The 17,558-nt window shown below is 41.0% G+C and overlaps 3 protein-coding genes across 18 annotated transcripts in view, besides 1 other annotated feature; 2 read left to right on the forward strand and 1 right to left on the reverse strand.

Moving 5' to 3' along the window:
* The window catches only part of TOMM20L (translocase of outer mitochondrial membrane 20 like), a 21,151-nt gene extending 14,182 nt beyond the window's left edge, over positions 1–6,969 (forward strand). The window contains exon 5 of the mRNA XM_011536743.3: positions 6,932–6,969. Coding sequence (XP_011535045.1) covers positions 6,932–6,934 — 3 coding nt within the window. The 3' untranslated portion in view covers positions 6,935–6,969. The remainder of the gene's footprint in view (positions 1–6,931) is intronic.
* Positions 1–17,420, reverse strand: part of TIMM9 (translocase of inner mitochondrial membrane 9) — a 19,038-nt gene extending 1,618 nt beyond the window's left edge. For 3 of the 13 annotated variants that reach the window (NM_001304490.1, NM_001304489.1, NM_001304488.1), the window contains exons 1-4: positions 16,943–17,131; positions 13,897–13,984; positions 1,796–1,860; positions 732–827 (exon numbers count right to left, since the gene is read on the reverse strand). In NM_001304490.1, coding sequence (NP_001291419.1) covers positions 732–827; positions 1,796–1,834 — 135 coding nt within the window. In that variant the 5' untranslated portion in view covers positions 1,835–1,860; positions 13,897–13,984; positions 16,943–17,131. Of the gene's footprint in view, positions 1–731; positions 828–1,795; positions 1,861–13,896; positions 13,985–16,942; positions 17,132–17,280 lie in introns of those variants that run through there. The other 10 variants (NM_001304491.1, NM_001304486.1, NM_012460.4 and 7 more) reach the window with 9 other exon arrangements.
* Positions 15,612–16,555: an enhancer, noted in NCBI's record as "H3K27ac-H3K4me1 hESC enhancer chr14:58892441-58893384 (GRCh37/hg19 assembly coordinates)". NCBI's record gives its function as "activates a minimal SCP1, AML or CMV promoter by ChIP-STARR-seq in naive H9 embryonic stem cells {active_cell/tissue: H9 hESC(naive)}" and the evidence as "EXISTENCE:reporter gene assay evidence [ECO:0000049][PMID:30033119]".
* KIAA0586 overlaps positions 17,289–17,558 on the forward strand; it is a 134,691-nt gene continuing 134,421 nt past the window's right edge. For all 4 annotated transcript variants that reach the window (NM_001244189.2, NM_001244190.2, NM_001244192.2 and 1 more), the window contains exon 1: positions 17,289–17,526. In NM_001244189.2, coding sequence (NP_001231118.1) covers positions 17,518–17,526 — 9 coding nt within the window. In that variant the 5' untranslated portion in view covers positions 17,289–17,517. The remainder of the gene's footprint in view (positions 17,527–17,558) is intronic.

Genomic DNA, 17,558 nt, shown 5'->3' on the forward strand with positions numbered 1-17,558 from the left:
CCCAGGCTAGAGTGCAGTGGTGCAATCACAGCTCACTGCAACCTCTGCCTCCCGGGCTCAGGTGACCCTCTCACCTCAGCTCCCGAGTAGCTGGGACCACAGGCATGTACCAACATGTCTAGCTAATTTTTTTTTGTATTTTTTGTAAAGACAGGGTTTCACCATGTTGCCGAGGCTGGTTTCGAACTCCTGGGCTCAAGTGATCCACCTGCCTTGACCTCCCAATGTGCTGGGAGTTCAAAGTTACAGTGAGCTATGATTATGCCATTGCACTCCAGCCTGGGTAACAGAGCGAGACCCTGTCTTAAAAAAATAGTTAAGACTTCTAATAGGATGAGGTTTTCAATATGAGCCACCAAAGTCAAGCTTTGTTTTTTCCAAAGCCAACCAGAATTCCCAGGGCCATACAGAAAGGCTGTGCCAAGTTTCTCTAGGTAGGCCATCTTGGCTGAAAGCTAATTAGTAAGAATCTTTGTTGTGAAACAGTAACTCAGCAGCTGCAGGCATCTTCTCTAAAATGGTCTGACTTGGTACAATGTAACTGTCATTAAATTTGGCACTGTTAAACTCAATGCCGTGGTTCAGTGGCTGCTTCAGTTCTTCCAAGCAATGGAACATAAAAGGTAGTCTAAATTCCTGTAATAAGTAGGAACAAGTGAAATGCTTAAGGGGATCCTACTTAGAGTGTTTATGAAGGCTTGTAGAATTTTAGTGAGTAACACTTTTCATACCTCTTCAGGTTTTACTTCTCTTGTTGTGAAGTCTTTAACACAGTCCAAAAAGCAGGTCTCTGTAAGTTTATTGTAGGTCCCCAGAAATTCCTTAAACTACAAACAAACCAGAATGTTCTTTAGTATTTGGTTTTTAAAACAAAGATGCTTTGAAACTTAAATTACTGGTATTTTATATTTAGACAAAATATACTATAACACTTGAAATCATAGTTATTATGCTAACTTAAATGGGTACAGTATGATCTACAGAATAGTTTTATTTTCTAGTTGAATATTTAATTTTTCCTTGATTATCAGTCAGATTAAAAATACATATGCTTGGCCGGGTGCGGTAGCTCATGCCTGTAATCCCAGCACTTTGGGAGGCCGAGGTGGGCGGATTACCTGAGGTCAGGAGTTCGAGACCAGCCTGGCCAACATGGTGAAACCCTGTCTCTAATAAAAATACAAAAATTAGCCAGGCGTGGTGGCGCATGCCTGTAATCCCAGCTACTCAGGAGGCTGAGGCAGGAGAATTGCTTGGGCCCGGGAGATGGAGGTTGCAGTGAACCAAGATCGTGCCACTGCACTCCAGCCTGGCCGACAAAGAGAGACTGTGTCCAAAAAAAAAAAGAACAAGAAAAATACGTACACTTTATAACATTTAATATCCATTTTGGAAATGAAATAGAAACAATTGTTTTGTGAAACCACTGACATGGTTTTTTTTTTTGAGATGGAGTCTTGCTCTGTCACCCAGGCTGGAGTGCAATGCCACGATCTCGGCTCACTGCAGCCTCTGCTTCCTGGGTCAAGCAATTCCTGTGCCTCAGCCTCCCACGTAGCTGGGACTAGAGGTGTGCGCCAGCACGCCCAGCTAATTTTTGTATTTTTAGGAGACGGAGTTTCACCATGTTGGCCAGGCTGGTCTTGAACTCCTGACTTCATGTGATCCACCCACCTGGGCCTCCCAACGTGCTGGGATTACAGATGTGAGCCACTGCACCCAGCCTGACATGGTGGCATTAGTAGCACCTTACATTTTTTTGCAAAATCTTTTCCCCTTAATTAGAATACCTTACCTGTTTTATCTGATCAGATTCTGGTATTTGTGCAGCCATATTCTTCTGGTACCTTTATTAGTCACCTAATTTAAAAATTCAAAACAAGTTTGTCAATCTATAAACAAATGTTTTTAGTCTAACTGAAGAGTTAGGGAATCACTGCTCGTATTTTATAAATCTGTGTATGTAATTGTATGCCACCACCCCCAATTTCTCAGATCATTAATGACCATAGAACCTTACAGTTGAGAATTAGATTTTCTTTTTTTTTTTGAGACGGAGTCTCACTCTGTCACCAGGCTGGAGCGCAGTGGCGCCATCTTGGCTCACTGCAACCTCTGCCTCCGGGTTCAAGCAATTCTCCTGCCTCAGCCTCCTGAGTAGCTAGGACTACAGGCACACACCACCATGCCCAGCTAATTTTTGTATTTTTAGTAGAGATGGGGTTTCACCATGTTGGCAAGGATGGTCTCGATCTCTTAACCTCATGATCCGCCTGCCTCGGCTTCCCAAAGTGCTGGGATTACAGGCGTTAGCCGCCGTGCCCGGCCAGAGAATTAGATTTTCTAATGCTAGTTTGGGACTCAAAGGCCCTGTCTATCAAAATCTCCAGTTTTAAGATAGTTTGCTCTGCTACCTTGCTAAGCTGCTTGTTTAAAGCCCCATTCCTAGGAGGGTTATAAAGGAAACCAAGATGGTGAAGTTTGGGCTTAAAAAAATAATTAAAAAAAGCTGGGTGTGGTGGCTCATGCCTGTAATCCCAGCACTTTGGGAGGCCAAGACATGTGGATCACTTGAGGTCAGGAGTTCAAAACCAGCCTGGCCAACATAGTGAAACCCTATCTCTACAAAAAATACAAAAATTGGCCAGACGTGGTGTCATGTGCCTGTGGTCCCAGCTACTTGGGAAGCTGAGGCAGGAGAATCGCTTGAACTCAGGACGTTGAGGTTACAGTGAGCCAAGATCACACCACTGCACTCCAGCCTGGGTGACAAAGTGAGACTCCATCTCAAATAATAATAATAATAATGATAATAAAAAGAAAAATAAAGGAAATCAAGAGATTTTTGCTGTTTTCCTAAAATTACTTAACTATTCCACTAGTCACCAAATTGCTTATTTTAAATTTTTTACTATTATACTCAGTCGAATACATCAAAAATATCAAAGATTTTAACATTTCAACATACAATCACATAAAAAGTATTAATAAGACATTTTACGTTCCTTTTCTGGTAGTAAGTCTTTGATTTTGGTGAGCATTTTACACTTACACCACATCTCAATTTGAATGCTAAATTTTCATCAGAAATACTTGGCCTATATTTAGATTTAATAAAATCTATTGTTGAAAAAGTAGATTCATATATCTGAGCCACTCCAAATACACTTAAAATTAGTTGCTAATTTAACTCTGACCCTTACTACTAATGATCCTTTTACAATGTAAATACAAAGGTTCTATTAATAGTTAACAAACACCAGTTAACAAACACCATTTGCTTAGAAATTGACAACCCTCATGAAGGATATTCAGAGTTTTAAAAGAAAGTTACAGGAATTATACATTCTACTACACATTCTCTAGTTCAAAAAGGGCAATCACAGAGACTAATCAGAGACTTCTAATTATAATCTAACGTGGCGGCAACAGGGAAGGGAAGACAAGTAAATAAAAAAGCCTTTCTGAATTCCTGAGATTTTCACATATCCTAAATGTAGGACTTAGGTTCAGTTAATCTAGATATAAGAATGTGTATAACATTATTTATTTACTATATCCTGGCTAGTTCTAAAAAGGTTGAGCATTTCATATAAAAGATTTGTATTTGTATAGGCTGGGCGTGGTGGCTCACGCCTGTAATCCCAGCACTTTGGGAGGCTGAGGCGGGCAGATTACGAGGTCAGGAGATCGAGACCATCCTGGCTAACACAGTGAAACCCCGTCTTTACTAAAAATACAAAAAATTAGCTGGGCGTGGTGGTGGGCGCCTGGAGTCCTAGCTACTTGGGAGGCTGAGGCAGAAGAATGGCGTGAACCCGGGAGGTGGAGCTTGCAGTGAGCCGAGATTGCACCACTGCACTCCGGCCTGGGTGACAGAGTGAGATTCCGTCTCAGAAAAAAAAAAAAAAAAAAAAAAAAAAAAGGTTTGTATAAAATAAAGCTGTTTGAAACAGAAATTAAACAGCATGTAAAAGGAAAACATGAATCATGTACACTGTAGACTAACATAAATGCTATACATTTTATTTAGTTAAGAGTTTTCTGATAACCAAAACAAAAATGATAAACTGGATGTGCAAATTTTTATTAGCTTATCAATTATTAAAGTATCTCTGGAAAACATAAATTCTTTATGAAGCTTTGTTGAAACTAATTTTTATGAAGTTCGTTGAAACTAGTAGTAAATTCAAGTTTAGGACAAAGTGTATGCCACCATCACAAAAAAAAATTAACATTCTGCTTTTGATTAACACATACAATCAACAGTAATTCCATTCCACCAGTCTCAACCATACCTATACTTTCCTCCTTTTTTCTTATCCTATAAAATCACAATAACTAGGCTGGGCACGGTGGCTCACACTTGTAATCCCAGCACTTTGGGAGGCTGAGGCAGGTGGATCACCTGAGGTCAAGAGTTGGAGACAAGCCTGGACAGCATAGTGAAACCGCATCTCTACTGAAAATACAAAAATTAGCCGGGCATGGTGGCTTATGCCTGTAATCCCAGCTACTCAGGAGGCTGAGGCAGGAGAACTGCTTGACCCCTTGGGCGGAGGTTGCAGTGAGCCGAGATTGCAGCACTGTACTCCAGCCTGCACCGCATAGTGAGACGCCATCTCAAAAAAAAAAAAAAAGAAAAAAAAGAAAGAAAGAAATTCACAATAACTACTGACATTTAAAAAAATGTCATTTCCTTCGTATGCACAGAAAAGCCTCCCCACTCCCCAGCGAGTGTCAGTGGAAACCACACAGGGAGCCTGGCTTTCCACCCCAATTGGCAGTAATGAGGTACCCATCTCCATCTACTCTGGGGTGGTATCTAAGGAGGCCTACTTGACATTCAGGACTTGCATTACTGCCTCATGACAATTAGGCCATGTACCCTGCTGTAATGTCAGTGGAGGCCACATGGGGAGAGTAACAAAGCACTGTAGTCCTTCCCAGCCAGGGAGTTATCAGTGGAAGCCTGGTGAGGAGCCAGAATGCCTACTCCACCTAGCAGTAACAAGAAACTCCCTGCCCCTCCCTTCAAGTGTCAGAGTGAGGAAGATGAATTTCTACTTCCACCTGGCAGTAATGAAGTGGTACCTCCCACCACTTCCCCTCATGGAGCATTGTCAAAAGGAGCCAGATAAAATGATTAAATAACATCTAGAGCCTCATAACATGATATGCAAGATGTCCAGGCTACAATATATTAAAAAATCACTCATCACACCAAGAACTAGGAAGATCTCAAACTGAATTAAAAAAAGACAACAGATGCTCAACATTGATTAATATGTGTTAGGATTATCTGACAAAGATTTTTAAATAGCACCTTGTAAATACTTCAGTGAGCAATTATGAACACACTTGAAACAAATGAAAAAACAGAAGGTCTCAGCAAAGAAATAGAAGATATCAAGACCCAAATGGAAAGTTTAAGAAGTGAAAAATACAATAACCAAAATAAACTCAATGAATAAAATCAATAGGAGAATGGAGGGGACAGAGGAATCAGTGAATTGGAAGCCAGAAAATAGAATTCTTCAACCTGAATTACAGAGAAAAACAGAATGAAAAACATTAACAGAGTACAAAGGACTTGTAGAAGTATAAAAAAGTGAATATTTTGTCTCATTAGAGTCCAAGAAGGAGAGGAAGAAAAGGGTAGGGTAGTAAAAGTAGTGGAAGAAATAATGGCTGAAAACTCCCCAAGTTTGGCAAAAGACATAAACCTACAGATTCAAAAAGCTGAACAAACCCCAAACAGCATAAACCCGATGAAACCTACATCGACACATAATAGTCAAACATCTGAAAACTAAAGACAAGGCTGAGCGCAGTGCCTCACGTCTATAATCCTAGCACTTTGGGAGGCCAAAGCGGGTGGGTCGATTGAGGTCAGGAGTTCATGACCAGCCTGGTCAACATGGTGAAACCCCGTCCCTACTGAAAAAAAAAAAAAAAATACAAAAAGCAGCTGGCCGTGGTGGCACACACCTGTAATCCCAGCTACTCAGGTGGCTGAGGCACGAGAATTGCTTGAACCCAGGAGGCAGAGGTTGCAGTGAGCCAAGATCATGTCAGTGCATTCCAGCCTGGGTGACAGAGTGAGACTCTGTAGCAAATAAATAAATAAATAACAATAAATAAAATAAAAAATAAAGACAAAAAGCCATTGAAAGCAGCAAGTGAAAAACTATATCTTGCCTGTAGGGGTAAAACCATTAGGATGAAAGCAGATTTTTCTTTAGAAACTATGGAGGCCACAAGGAAGTGGCACAAAATGTTTCAAGTGCTAAAGGAAAACAACTGTCAATGCAGAAACCTGTATCTAGTGAAAACAACCTTGAGAAATAAAGGAGAAATCAAGACATTCTCAAATGTAGGAAAACTAAGAAAATGTGTTACCAGCATAGCTACCTAAAATAATCGCTCAAGTTTCTAAACGAAGAAAATGATAAAAGTAGTAGTCCTGGAACATCAAGGAGGAAAACACAGTAATAGGTACAATACACTTCTCTTGAGTTTCCTAAATTATGTTTGTCGGTTGAAGCAAAAATTATAAAACCATCTATTGTGGTTCTAAATGTATGTAGACAATTAAGGTTTCTATACTTCACTTGAACTGGTAATATGCTGACATCATTACATGGTGATAAACTAAATCAGTGCCATGAGAAAAAGTTTTAGTACTAAATGCATACATTAGAAAAGGAAAAAGGCCAGGTGTCGTGGCTCATGCCTGTAATCTCAGCACTTTGGGAGGCTGAGGTGGGAGAATTCCTTGGGCTCTGGAGTTCAAGACCAGCCTGGGTGATATGGTTTGGCTATGTCCCCACCCAAATCTCATCTTGAATTCCCAAGTGTTGTGGGAGGGACCTGGTGGGAGGTAATTGAATCATGGGGGCAAGTCTTTCCCATGCTGTTCTCATGATAGTGAATAAGTCTCCCAAGATCTGACGGTTTTATCAAGAGGAGATCCCCTACACAAGTTCTCTCTCTTTGCCTTCTGCCATCCATGTAAGATGTGACTTGCTCCTCCTTGCCTTCAGCCATGATTGTGAGGCCTCCCCAGCCATGTGGAACTGTAAGTCCATTAAACCTCTTTCTTTTGTAAATTGCCCAGTCTAGGGTATGTCTTTACCAGCAGTGTGAAAATGGACTAATACACTGGGCAACATAGTGATACCTTCTCTCTCCAAAAAAAGAAAAGAAAGAGAGAAAAGAAAAGAAAAGAGAAAAGAAAGAAAAGTAGCTGGGCATGGTGGCATGTCCTATACCCCCAGCTACTTGGAGGTTGAGGCAGGATTGCCTGAGCCAAGGAGTTTAAGGCTGCAGTGAGCTATGATCATGCCATTGCATTCCAGCTCAGATAAAACAGCAAGACCCTGTTAAAAAAAAAAAAAAAAAAAAGGAAGTGGAGGTAAGGAAGGAAGAAAGGGGAGGGAGAGAGGGAAAGGAGCGTGGGAGGGAGGGAAAGGAGCGTGGGAGGGAGGGAGGGACTTAGGGAAGGAGGGAAGGGAGGGAGGGAGGGAGGGAGGAAGAAAGGAAGGAAGGAAGGTAGGAAGGAAGGAAGGTCTTAAATCAGTAATCCAAGCTCCTCCTACCTCAAGCACCTAAAAAAGAAGAGCAAAATGAACCCAATGAAGGAAATAAAGAGCAGAGATCAATTTAAATGAAAAGAGAAAAAAGAAAGAGCTAGTTCTTTGAAAAGATTAATAAAACTGACAAACCTACTAGCAAGAGAGAAGACACAAATTATACATCAGGAATGAAACAGGGTGTACATTACTACAGGTTTTGCAGACACCAAAAGGATACAGGAATATTACAAACAACTCTACATACATAAACCTGACAACTTCTTTATGAAGTTAGTATTATCCTGATATTAAAACCAGGCAAAGACAGTACAAAAAAGAAAACCATAAAAATATCCCTCATGAAAGATATAAAAAAGTCTATTACTATTAATATTAGCAAATATAATTCAGCAATATATAAAAAGAATTATACAACTTGACCAAGAAGGGTTTATTCCAGGGATGCAAGACTGGTTTAATATTTGAAAATTAATCCGTTTAAGTCCACATATTAATAGACTGAAGAAGAAAAACCAAATGATCATAAACATTGATGCAGAAAAAGTATCTGAAAAAATGCAATACCCATTCATAGCAAAATATCTCAGAAAAAAAGGAAGATCAATTTGATAAACAGCATGTACAAAAAAACCTACAGCCTACACTATACTTAATGGCAAAAGATAATACTTTCCCATAAGATTGTGAGCAAGGACAGATGTCCACTCTCACCACTCTTATCTAACATACTGCTGAAAGTTCTACCCAGTGCAGTGAAGCAAGAAAAGGAAACAGACATAAAGATTGTAAAAGAAAAAACAAAACTGTTCCTGTTTGCATGTAATATAATTATGAACATGCAAAATCGAAAGAATCTACAAATAAACTCCTAGAATTAATTAAGTTCAGCAGTGTCCAGTATACACAATAAGTATATTTAAAAAATCAATTGTATTTCTATATACCATCAATGAACACATGTATACTGAAAGTAAAAATACAATATCATTTACAATTACTCAAAGAAAAAAAAAGATTTAGGGGCAAATCTAACAAAACATGTACGGACTTGTATGTGGAAAACTACCAAATGCTGACAAAAGAAGGCAAAGACCTAAACACACAGAGAGACATACTGTGTGTTCAGAGATCAGAAGACTCAATATAGTAAGAATGCCAATTTTCTTAAGGCTGATATACGGGCTTATTGCAATTTCTATCAAGGTCCTAACAAGATTTCTTATAAATATACACAAATTTATATGGAAATTTATATAAAATTTATATAAAAAGCAAAGGGACCAGAATAGCTAAAACAAATTTGAAAAATGAAGAATAAAGTGAGAGGAATTGGTCTACCTGATTTCAAGACATAAAGAGCCTACAATAATCAATGCTGTGTGCCACTGGTGGAGGGACAGACAAATAGTCAGTGGAACATAACAAAGAATCTAATAACAGATTAACACCAAAAAACCCAACTGGCCAGGTGAGGTGGCTCACACCTGTAATCCCAGCACTTTGGGAGGCCAAGAAGGGAGAATTGCTTGAGCCCAGGAGTTCAAGAACAACCTGGGCAACACAGCGAGACCTTGTCTGTACAAATAATTAAGAAAATTAGCTGGGCATGGTGTCACATGCCTGTAGTCCCAGTTACCTGGGAGTCTGAGGCAGGAGAATCATTTGAGCCTGGGAGGTAGAGGCTGCAGTAAGCCATGGTTGCGCCACTACGCTCCAGTCTGGAAAATAGAGTGAGACCCCGTCACACACACACACACACACACACACACACACACACACACACACACACACACACAAACACATACACACACACACACACAAAAATACACTCCTGCCCAACTGATTTTTGGGAAAAAAAGATGTGAGAACTAAGTTTCTCACCTAATACAAAAATTAACTCAAAATGGATTGGGGGGCCAGGCATGGTGGCTCATGCCTGGAATTCTAGCACTTTGGGAGGCCAAGGTTGGCAGATGGCTTGAGGCCAGGAATTTGAGACCAGCCTGGGTAACATGACAAACCCCGTCTTTACCAAAAATACACACACAAAAAAAATTTTAGCTGGGCATGGTGGCACATACCTGTAGTCCCAGCTACTCAAGAGGCTGAGGTAGGAAGGATGGATTGCGCCCAGGAGGCAGAGGCTGCAGTGAGCCAAGATTGTGCCACTGCACTCCAGCCTGGGTGACAGACCCTCTCTCTAAAAAAAGGATCAGGAATTTAATGTAAAATATAAAACTACTAAAACTTTTATTTATTTTTAATAAACACAGGGTCTCACCATGTTGCCCAGGCTGTCTCAACTCCTGGACTTAAGCAGCCCTCCCATCTCCACCTCCCACAGGGCTGGGATTACAGGCGTAAGCCACCATGATTGGCCAACTACTAAAACTTTTAGAAAAATATTAGAAAATCTGGCTTTAGGGCTAGGCAAAGAGTTCTTATATTTGACATCAAAAACACTATAAGAGGAAAAATTAATAAATTAGACTTCATGAAAATTAAAAATGAAATTAAAAAATTAAAAACTTTTGCTTTATGAAAGAACATTGAGAGGATGAAAAGCTACAGACCAGGAGGAAATATTTGCAAACTACATAACTGACAAAGAACTAATAAGCAGAAGATATAAAGAACTCTCAAACCCCAGCAGTAAAAACACAAACAATCCAATTAGAAAACAAGCAAGAGCCGTAAAAAGGTATTTCAGCAAAAAGGAAATACATATGGCTAATAAGTACCTGAAAAGATGTTCAACATCATTAGCCATTAGGGAAATGCAAATTAAAACCAAAACAAGCTGCTGGGTGCGGTGGCTCACGCCTGTAATCCCAGCACTTTCGGAGGCTGAGGCGGGCAGATCACCTGAGGTCAGGAGTTTGAGACTAGCCTGGCCAACGTGGTGAAACCCCATCTCTACTAAAAATACAAAAGTTAGCCGGGCATGGTGGTGCATGCCTGTGGTCCCAGCTACTCGGGTGGCTGAGGCAAGAGAATTGCTTGAACCCAGGAGGTGGAGGTTGCAGTGAGCCGGGATCACGCCACTGCACTCCAACCTGGGTGACGAGAGCAAAAATCCATCTCAAAAAAAAAAAAAAAAAAAACAAGCTATATACCTATCAGAATGGCTAACATAAAAACAAAACAAAACAAAAAAACAAAAACAGTGGCAATACCAAATGCTAGTGAGGACATGGAAAAACTGAATCACTTACATATTCCTGTTGGGAATGTAAAGAGTTTGGCAGTTTCTAAAGAAGTTATACATTCATCTCCCATATAACCCTGCAATTGCATTCCTGGGCATCTGTCCTAGAGAAATGAAAATTTGTGTTCACAGGAAATCCTATATGTGAATGTTTGTAGAAACTCTATTCTTAATAATCAAAAACTGAAAACCCAAATGTTCTTCAGTGGGTGAATGGTTAAACAAATTGGTACATCTATACCTGTAATACTATTCAGCAATAAAAAGGATGAGGTATTGATACTTGCAAAAGCCTGGAAAATTCTGCTGAGGAAAAAAGCCAATCCTAAAAAGTTAAATACTGTATAATTCCACTTATACAACATTCTTGAAATAACAGAATTGCAGAAATGAAGAACATATGGTTGCCAAGGGTTAAGGAATGGATGAGGGAAGGAGTAGGAAGAAAGTAGGTGTTGCTATAAGAAGGCAACACAAGACCTTTGTAATAGAAATATTCTGTATCTTGATTGTATCAATATTAGTATCCTGGATGTGAGTGACATTGTACTCCAGTTTTGTAAGATGTTACCATTGTGGAAAACTGGGTAAAGGACACAGGGGACCTTTGTGTTAATTGTTGGAAGTGTATTTCAATCCACACTAACCTCAAAATAAAAAGTTTAATAATAAAGAAAAAAAATGTTATTGTATAACTTTCTGGTACCTGCCAAAGAACAACATGCAGCGTGGTAGATACTGTTAGCAAGCATTCCAAGCTAGAGTTCTTCTGGATTCCCACTCAGAAAACAGTCTGAAAAGATCTAAGAACTGGTAAAACAACTTCTAAAGAAGTATTAAATGAAATCACTGTTTTGTGAGAACTTGAAAAAAAATACAAGGGTAATAAAATATGCATTAAGGAACTTTGTTTACCAATAGGCTCCTAGCTGAAAGTTCAAAAGGTCATCTACTAGACCTGAGCCTTTTGAATTGTCGAATAAGGACAGTACACTCACTGCACCTCAGGAGGACACCCAGCAAACTGGACTTTCTACAGTTCACATCAAAAAATAACACAGAGCTGATTTCCTTCTTATAATGCCAAAATCTGTTCTTTTTTTTTTTTTTTTTAATTCCATCCTTGTATTTCTTTGGGTTAAAATTCTTATTTATTGACTTATCAACCCGAGGTCAGAGAGACAGAAAGTATGAAATCTTTTTTTTTTTTTTTTGAGACGGAGTTTTCGCTCTTGTTGCCCAGGCTGGAGTGCAATGGCACAATCTCAGCTTACTGCAATCTCCGCCTCCCAGGTTCAAGCGATTCTCCTGCCTAAGCCTCCCAAGCAGTTGGGATTACAGGCATGCACCACCACGCCCAGCTAATTTTCTATTTTTAGTAGAGACGGGGGTTTCTCCACATTGGTGAGGCTGGTCTTAAACTCCCGACCTCAGGTGATCCTCCTGCCTCGGCCTCCCAAAGTGCTGGGATTACAGGCATGAGCCACTGTGCCCAGTCGAAAGTATGAAATCTTTAAATGTTCTCTAAGTTTCATACTGGTACCCTGTGCTGCCTCTACACACATCTTGTCCTTATTATATATCTCATGGTGATAAATGATGGTTGTTACTAAAAAATCTGAAAAGACATATATGAGGAATGCCCCAAGTGCTGTTGGTATGAATCTTCTTTATTCATTAATGTATTAATATACATTACTTAAACAGTGTATGTTTCCTCTTTTCAGTGAAATAAAGTCTGTCATACTATAAAAGTAATATATTTATTGAGAATTTGAAAAACAAAAGATAGTTCTACCATTCACAGACCACTATGTTAACACTATGATTTATTTTCTTTAGAATCACTCAATTGTGTATTTTATTTATTTATTTACTTATTTTTGAGATTTATTTATTTATTTATTTTTGAGACAGAGTCTCACTCTGAGACCCAGGCTGGAGTACAGTGGTGCAATTTCAGCTTACTACATCTTCCGCCTCCTGGGTTCAAGTGATTTTGTGCCTCAGCCTCCTGAGTAGCTGGGATTACAGGCATGCACTACCACACCTGGCTAATTTTTGTTTAGTATAGATGGGGTTTCACCATGTTGGCCAGGTTGGTCTTGAACTCCCGACCTCAGGTAATCCACCCACCTCAGCCTCCCAAAGTGCTGGGATTACAGGCGTGAGCCACTGCACCCAGACCAATTTGGTATTTTTTTTTTCCAGACCTAACAGTTGAACTCAAGAGCTAACAATCAGAAGTTTTCTTAAGTCTGCTTAAATCTCTAAAGCTATCCTCGGTAGTCACCAGTATCTATCAAGATTACGGTATAGGCCAGGCACAGTGGCTCACACCTGTAATCCCAGCACATTGGGAGGCCAAGGCGGGTGGATCATTTGAGGTCAGGAGTTTGAGACCAGCCTGGCCAACATGGTGAAACCCCGTCTCTACTAAAAATACAAAAATTAGCCGGGCATGGTGGCACATGCCTATAATCGCAGCTACTCGGGAGGCTGAGGCAGAACTGCTTGAACCTGGGAGGCAGAGGCTGCAGTGAGCTGAGATTGTGCCACTGCATTCCAGCCTGGGTGACAGAGCGAGACTTTGTCTCAAAAAAAAAAAAAAAAAAAAAAAAAGATTATGGTATACATAATTGTAGGCAACTGGTTCAGAGAAAATACTGGAGATGACTGAGTAAATCAATGATTTTCAGAGTTACTTGCTAATTTGAGGTCTTCTAAATTTTTCACTATTCACTTCGCAGTTATTTAATAGTAAGCTTAGACTAACAAATTCCACCAGCCACATAAACCACCTGATGGTGAGAACAGGTAGCAGTAATGTGGTTGTTCTTTTATTTGATCCTAGTTTCCATATATTACAGCAAATTTATGTTACTGTGGCAAAGACCCATCAGGGGTTACCTTCTGATTATATCCCTGAAACCTGGAGAGGGAGAGAAGAAATAAGCAAATTCAAGAATCACTGGCTTAGATCTTGGGAATGATTACAATGATGCTGTTATTCTTGTGGCAAACAAAATATATCCTAGAACCAGGGAACTTAAGAATAAAGGGAGATCTTATCAGTCATCAAGCTCTAACCTTTTCTGATGCATGAGTTTCCTTTCTGTTCTGGAAAAGTAGTTGTCCAACCTTTGCTTGAATGTCTCCAATAAGGCCTGATTCTTACCTGAAAAATGAGGTAATATGATTACTAAGTCCCCTTCAAGTTCTAATAGTCTTTTCAATGAAATGTAAACTTCTATTGGCTAATCATTTATTTTTTTAAAGTTTCTTCCTTTTTAGTAAGTGAAATTAGTTTCCTCTATTCTGAGGTTACAATTCTTTGGCATATGTGTTACTATTAAAAAAAATACTTAATGTCATGCTATCCTTATTTATCCAGGTATAAGTATACATTACACTTCCCTTATGATTTTCCTACTAATTCTGGGAGGGATGGTTCAGAAATCTTAAGAAACTTACATGAGGTCACTTATACAGATAGTAACTGGACAGCTGGAGCCTAACTAAGGTCTTTGGACTTCAAAATCCAGTATTTTCCCCATTGCACCTATAAAATGACCTATTTAAGACCTATAAAATGTCTTATAAGCTATTATGACACATATCATCTATCTAAAAATATTTTCCAAATAGCCAAATATATGTTATAAGCTAAGTGACTGACCAGGTGCAGTGGCTCAATCCCAGCATTTTGGGAGGCTGAGGTGGGTGGATAGCTTGAGCCCAAAAGTTCTACATCAGCCTGGGCAACATGGCAAAACCCCATCTCTACAAAAAATACAAAAATGAGCCGGCATGGTGGTGTGCACCTGTAGTCCCAGCTACTCAGGAGGCTGAGGCAGGAGGATCACTTGAGCCCAGGAGCTTGAGGCTGCAGTGAGCCATGATCACGCCACTGCTCTCTTGCCTGGGTGACAGAAAGAGACCCTGTCTCAAAGAAAAAACGTATAAGCTAAGTCATAAAACCTAGCATCACAAACATGGGTGCCAACATTAGGTATTTCTTGGTGGGATGCAGTAAGACAGCATCACCTATGTGGTATTCTGGCCAAAGTTTGATATGGCTCTAATCATGAGGGAATAATTAGGAAAATCTACAACATGGAACAATTTGTAAGACAACCTGGCTGGTCTTTTCAAAAGTGTCAGTCATAAAGAAAAGGGGTTGAGAGGGCTGATTTAGAGTGAGAAAATAAGGCCAGGCATGATGGTTCACGCCTGTAATCCCAGCACTTTGGGAGGCTGAGGTGGGCAGATCACGTGCGGTCAGGAGTTCCAGACCAGCCTGGCCAACATGGTGAAACCCCATCTTTACTAAAAACACAAAAATTATCTGGGCAGAGTGGCGGGTGCCTATAATCCCAGCTATTTGGGAGGCTGAGGCAGAAGAATCACTTGAACCCAGGAGGCAGAGGTTGCAGTGAGCTGAGAAAATAAGCCTGGGCAATAAGGCGAGACCTAGTTTCTACAAAAAAGTAAAAAATTAGCCAGCGTGGTGGCAAGTGCTTGTAGTCCTAGCTACTCAGGAGGCTGAGACAGGAGGATTGCCTGAGCTCAGGAGTTGAAGGCTTCAGGGAGCTATGATCATGACAGAGCAAGGCCCTGTCTCTGGAAAAAAAAAAAAAAAGAGGGAAAGGAACTAAAGAGTAATGACAAAGAGCTGTAAGATCCAAATTAAGTTGTCATTTTAATAATTCAGAGTGCCTACACTCAGATCTTAGGTCACTGTTTCTTTCACATAAGTTTCACCTAGAAGGTAAGAGTTAAACTATCTCCAAGGTCTCTGGCGACTCTGACATTGTAGTTCTTTCAGTACACTCATAATATACAATAAATTGTGAACAAACAAGTACCACCTATGAGCCCAATTACGAAGAGAAAATGTAACTAAAATAAAAAATAATGGCCACGTGCGGTGGCTCACGCTTGTAATACTAGCACTTTGGTAGGCCGAGGCGGGTGAATCAAGTCAGGAGTTCGAGACCAACCTGGCCAACATGGTGAAACCCCGTCTCTAATAAAAATACAAAAAAAATTAGCTGGGCGTGGTGGCGGGCGCCTGTAATCCAGCTACTCAGGAGGCCTGAGGCAGAAGAATCGCTTGAACCTGGGAGGCGGAGGTTGCAGTGAGCCAAGATCGCGCCACTGCACTCCAGCCTGTGCCACAGAGTGAGACTTTGTCTCAAAAAACAACACAAAACTCATTAGAGAAACTCAGCAAGTTACAAAAAAATAATAATTAAAAGGGTCTTTAACGCTGAGCCCTTAAAGTCTTTTTTTTTCTTTTTTTTTTAAGACAGTCTTGATCTGTCACTCAGGCTGGAGCACAATGGCGCGATCTCAGCTCACTGCAACCTCCACCTGCCGGGTTCAAGCAATTCTCTTGCCTCAGCCTCCTGAGTAGCTGGGACTACAGGCGCGCGCCACCATGCCCAGTTAATTTTTTGTATTTTCAGTAGAGGCGGGGTTTCACCTTGCTGGCCAGGCTGGTCTCGAACTCCTGATCTCGTGATCCGCCCGCCTTGGCCTCCCAAAGTGCTGGGATTACAGGCGTGAGCCACCGCGCTCAGACTTTAAAGTCCATTTTAAGTCTAGACTTCTATGAAGGTAGACTGCCGAGATGTAAAAGAAATAAAATTAGTTATTTAGCTTTTAGATCGGATTACATTTTCTGCTTTGATTATTCTAAAGCCTCCAGTAAGGCGTAAAGGGAAAGCTCTAAGTAGCGCATCCTGGGAAATGAGCAGATCAGGGAAGGGGTGTTAGACCTGGTATTATGTCTAAAGACGATTTTCATTTAAAGGAGGATCTTCCCCCGGGCAGCTCAAGGTCACATCGTAAATACCTTATAGTCTAATTCAGTGTCCCAAAACAGGACCCCGACTCCCCAGATCCGGGTTGGGGGTGGCTCAGGGCCTAAAGTTCCTACCCTCGCCCAGGTGACACCATCTCCAGGAAGGTCTGCACCCGACCCGGCGAAGCGCTGTCCCGCTTCGCACCCCCCACTGCTCCAGGTACGTGCGGCGGCCTCCTCGGGAGACCCCGCCACTTTCCTGGAGCGTAGCCTGCCACCCCCCGTCCGGGAACCCCGGATTCTCACGGCAGAGAACAGACACCATACTTAAGCACAGGCTCTCGCATCCGACATCAGTACAAGGCTGGGGGTTGTTGGGGGACGGTTGAGCCTTGGGAGGGAGGGTCAGGGTCTGGACAGGAGCCGCGGCCGCCAGATGGGAAAGAACACGTGGGAGCAGTAATGTCAAGTGACACTTAAACCCTTAGACGCCGATTCGTTATAACGCGAGGAAATCTAGAAGAAAAAGCAGGTACCATCAGCGAATTCTAAAATCTCCTAAGGATTAACTTCGGTTATTTTCTGCTTAGACAACGCTTTCTATTCCCGACTTCCTCTCCAATAATGACCCGAATCTGTCGAAACTTCTTGGAAGCCTAATTTACCTAATCCCACGTCCCTAACGGTCTTCGGAAGCGAAGCAGTGTCAACAGTCCCTGGTAAACACAAGTAGTATTACAAGTCGGGAGCTCTTCAAGTCTTGGATGAGACTGTAGAGCGGTCTTGTGCGGCAATGTGCTACCTTAAAATAAATAAATAAATAAACCCCTGTTATGTCCGGAGTTTGTTTCCACCCGGAGAGGAATGGAAGAGCACCAGAGAGCGCTTAGCTTTCTGGTTGGATGTTTTGGGTGAGTTTCTTGGCGCGCATGCGTGTTGTGTC

The sequence above is a fragment of the Homo sapiens genome, chromosome 14 (assembly GCF_000001405.40).
Source record: "Homo sapiens chromosome 14, GRCh38.p14 Primary Assembly".
Lineage (NCBI taxonomy): Eukaryota > Metazoa > Chordata > Mammalia > Primates > Hominidae > Homo > Homo sapiens.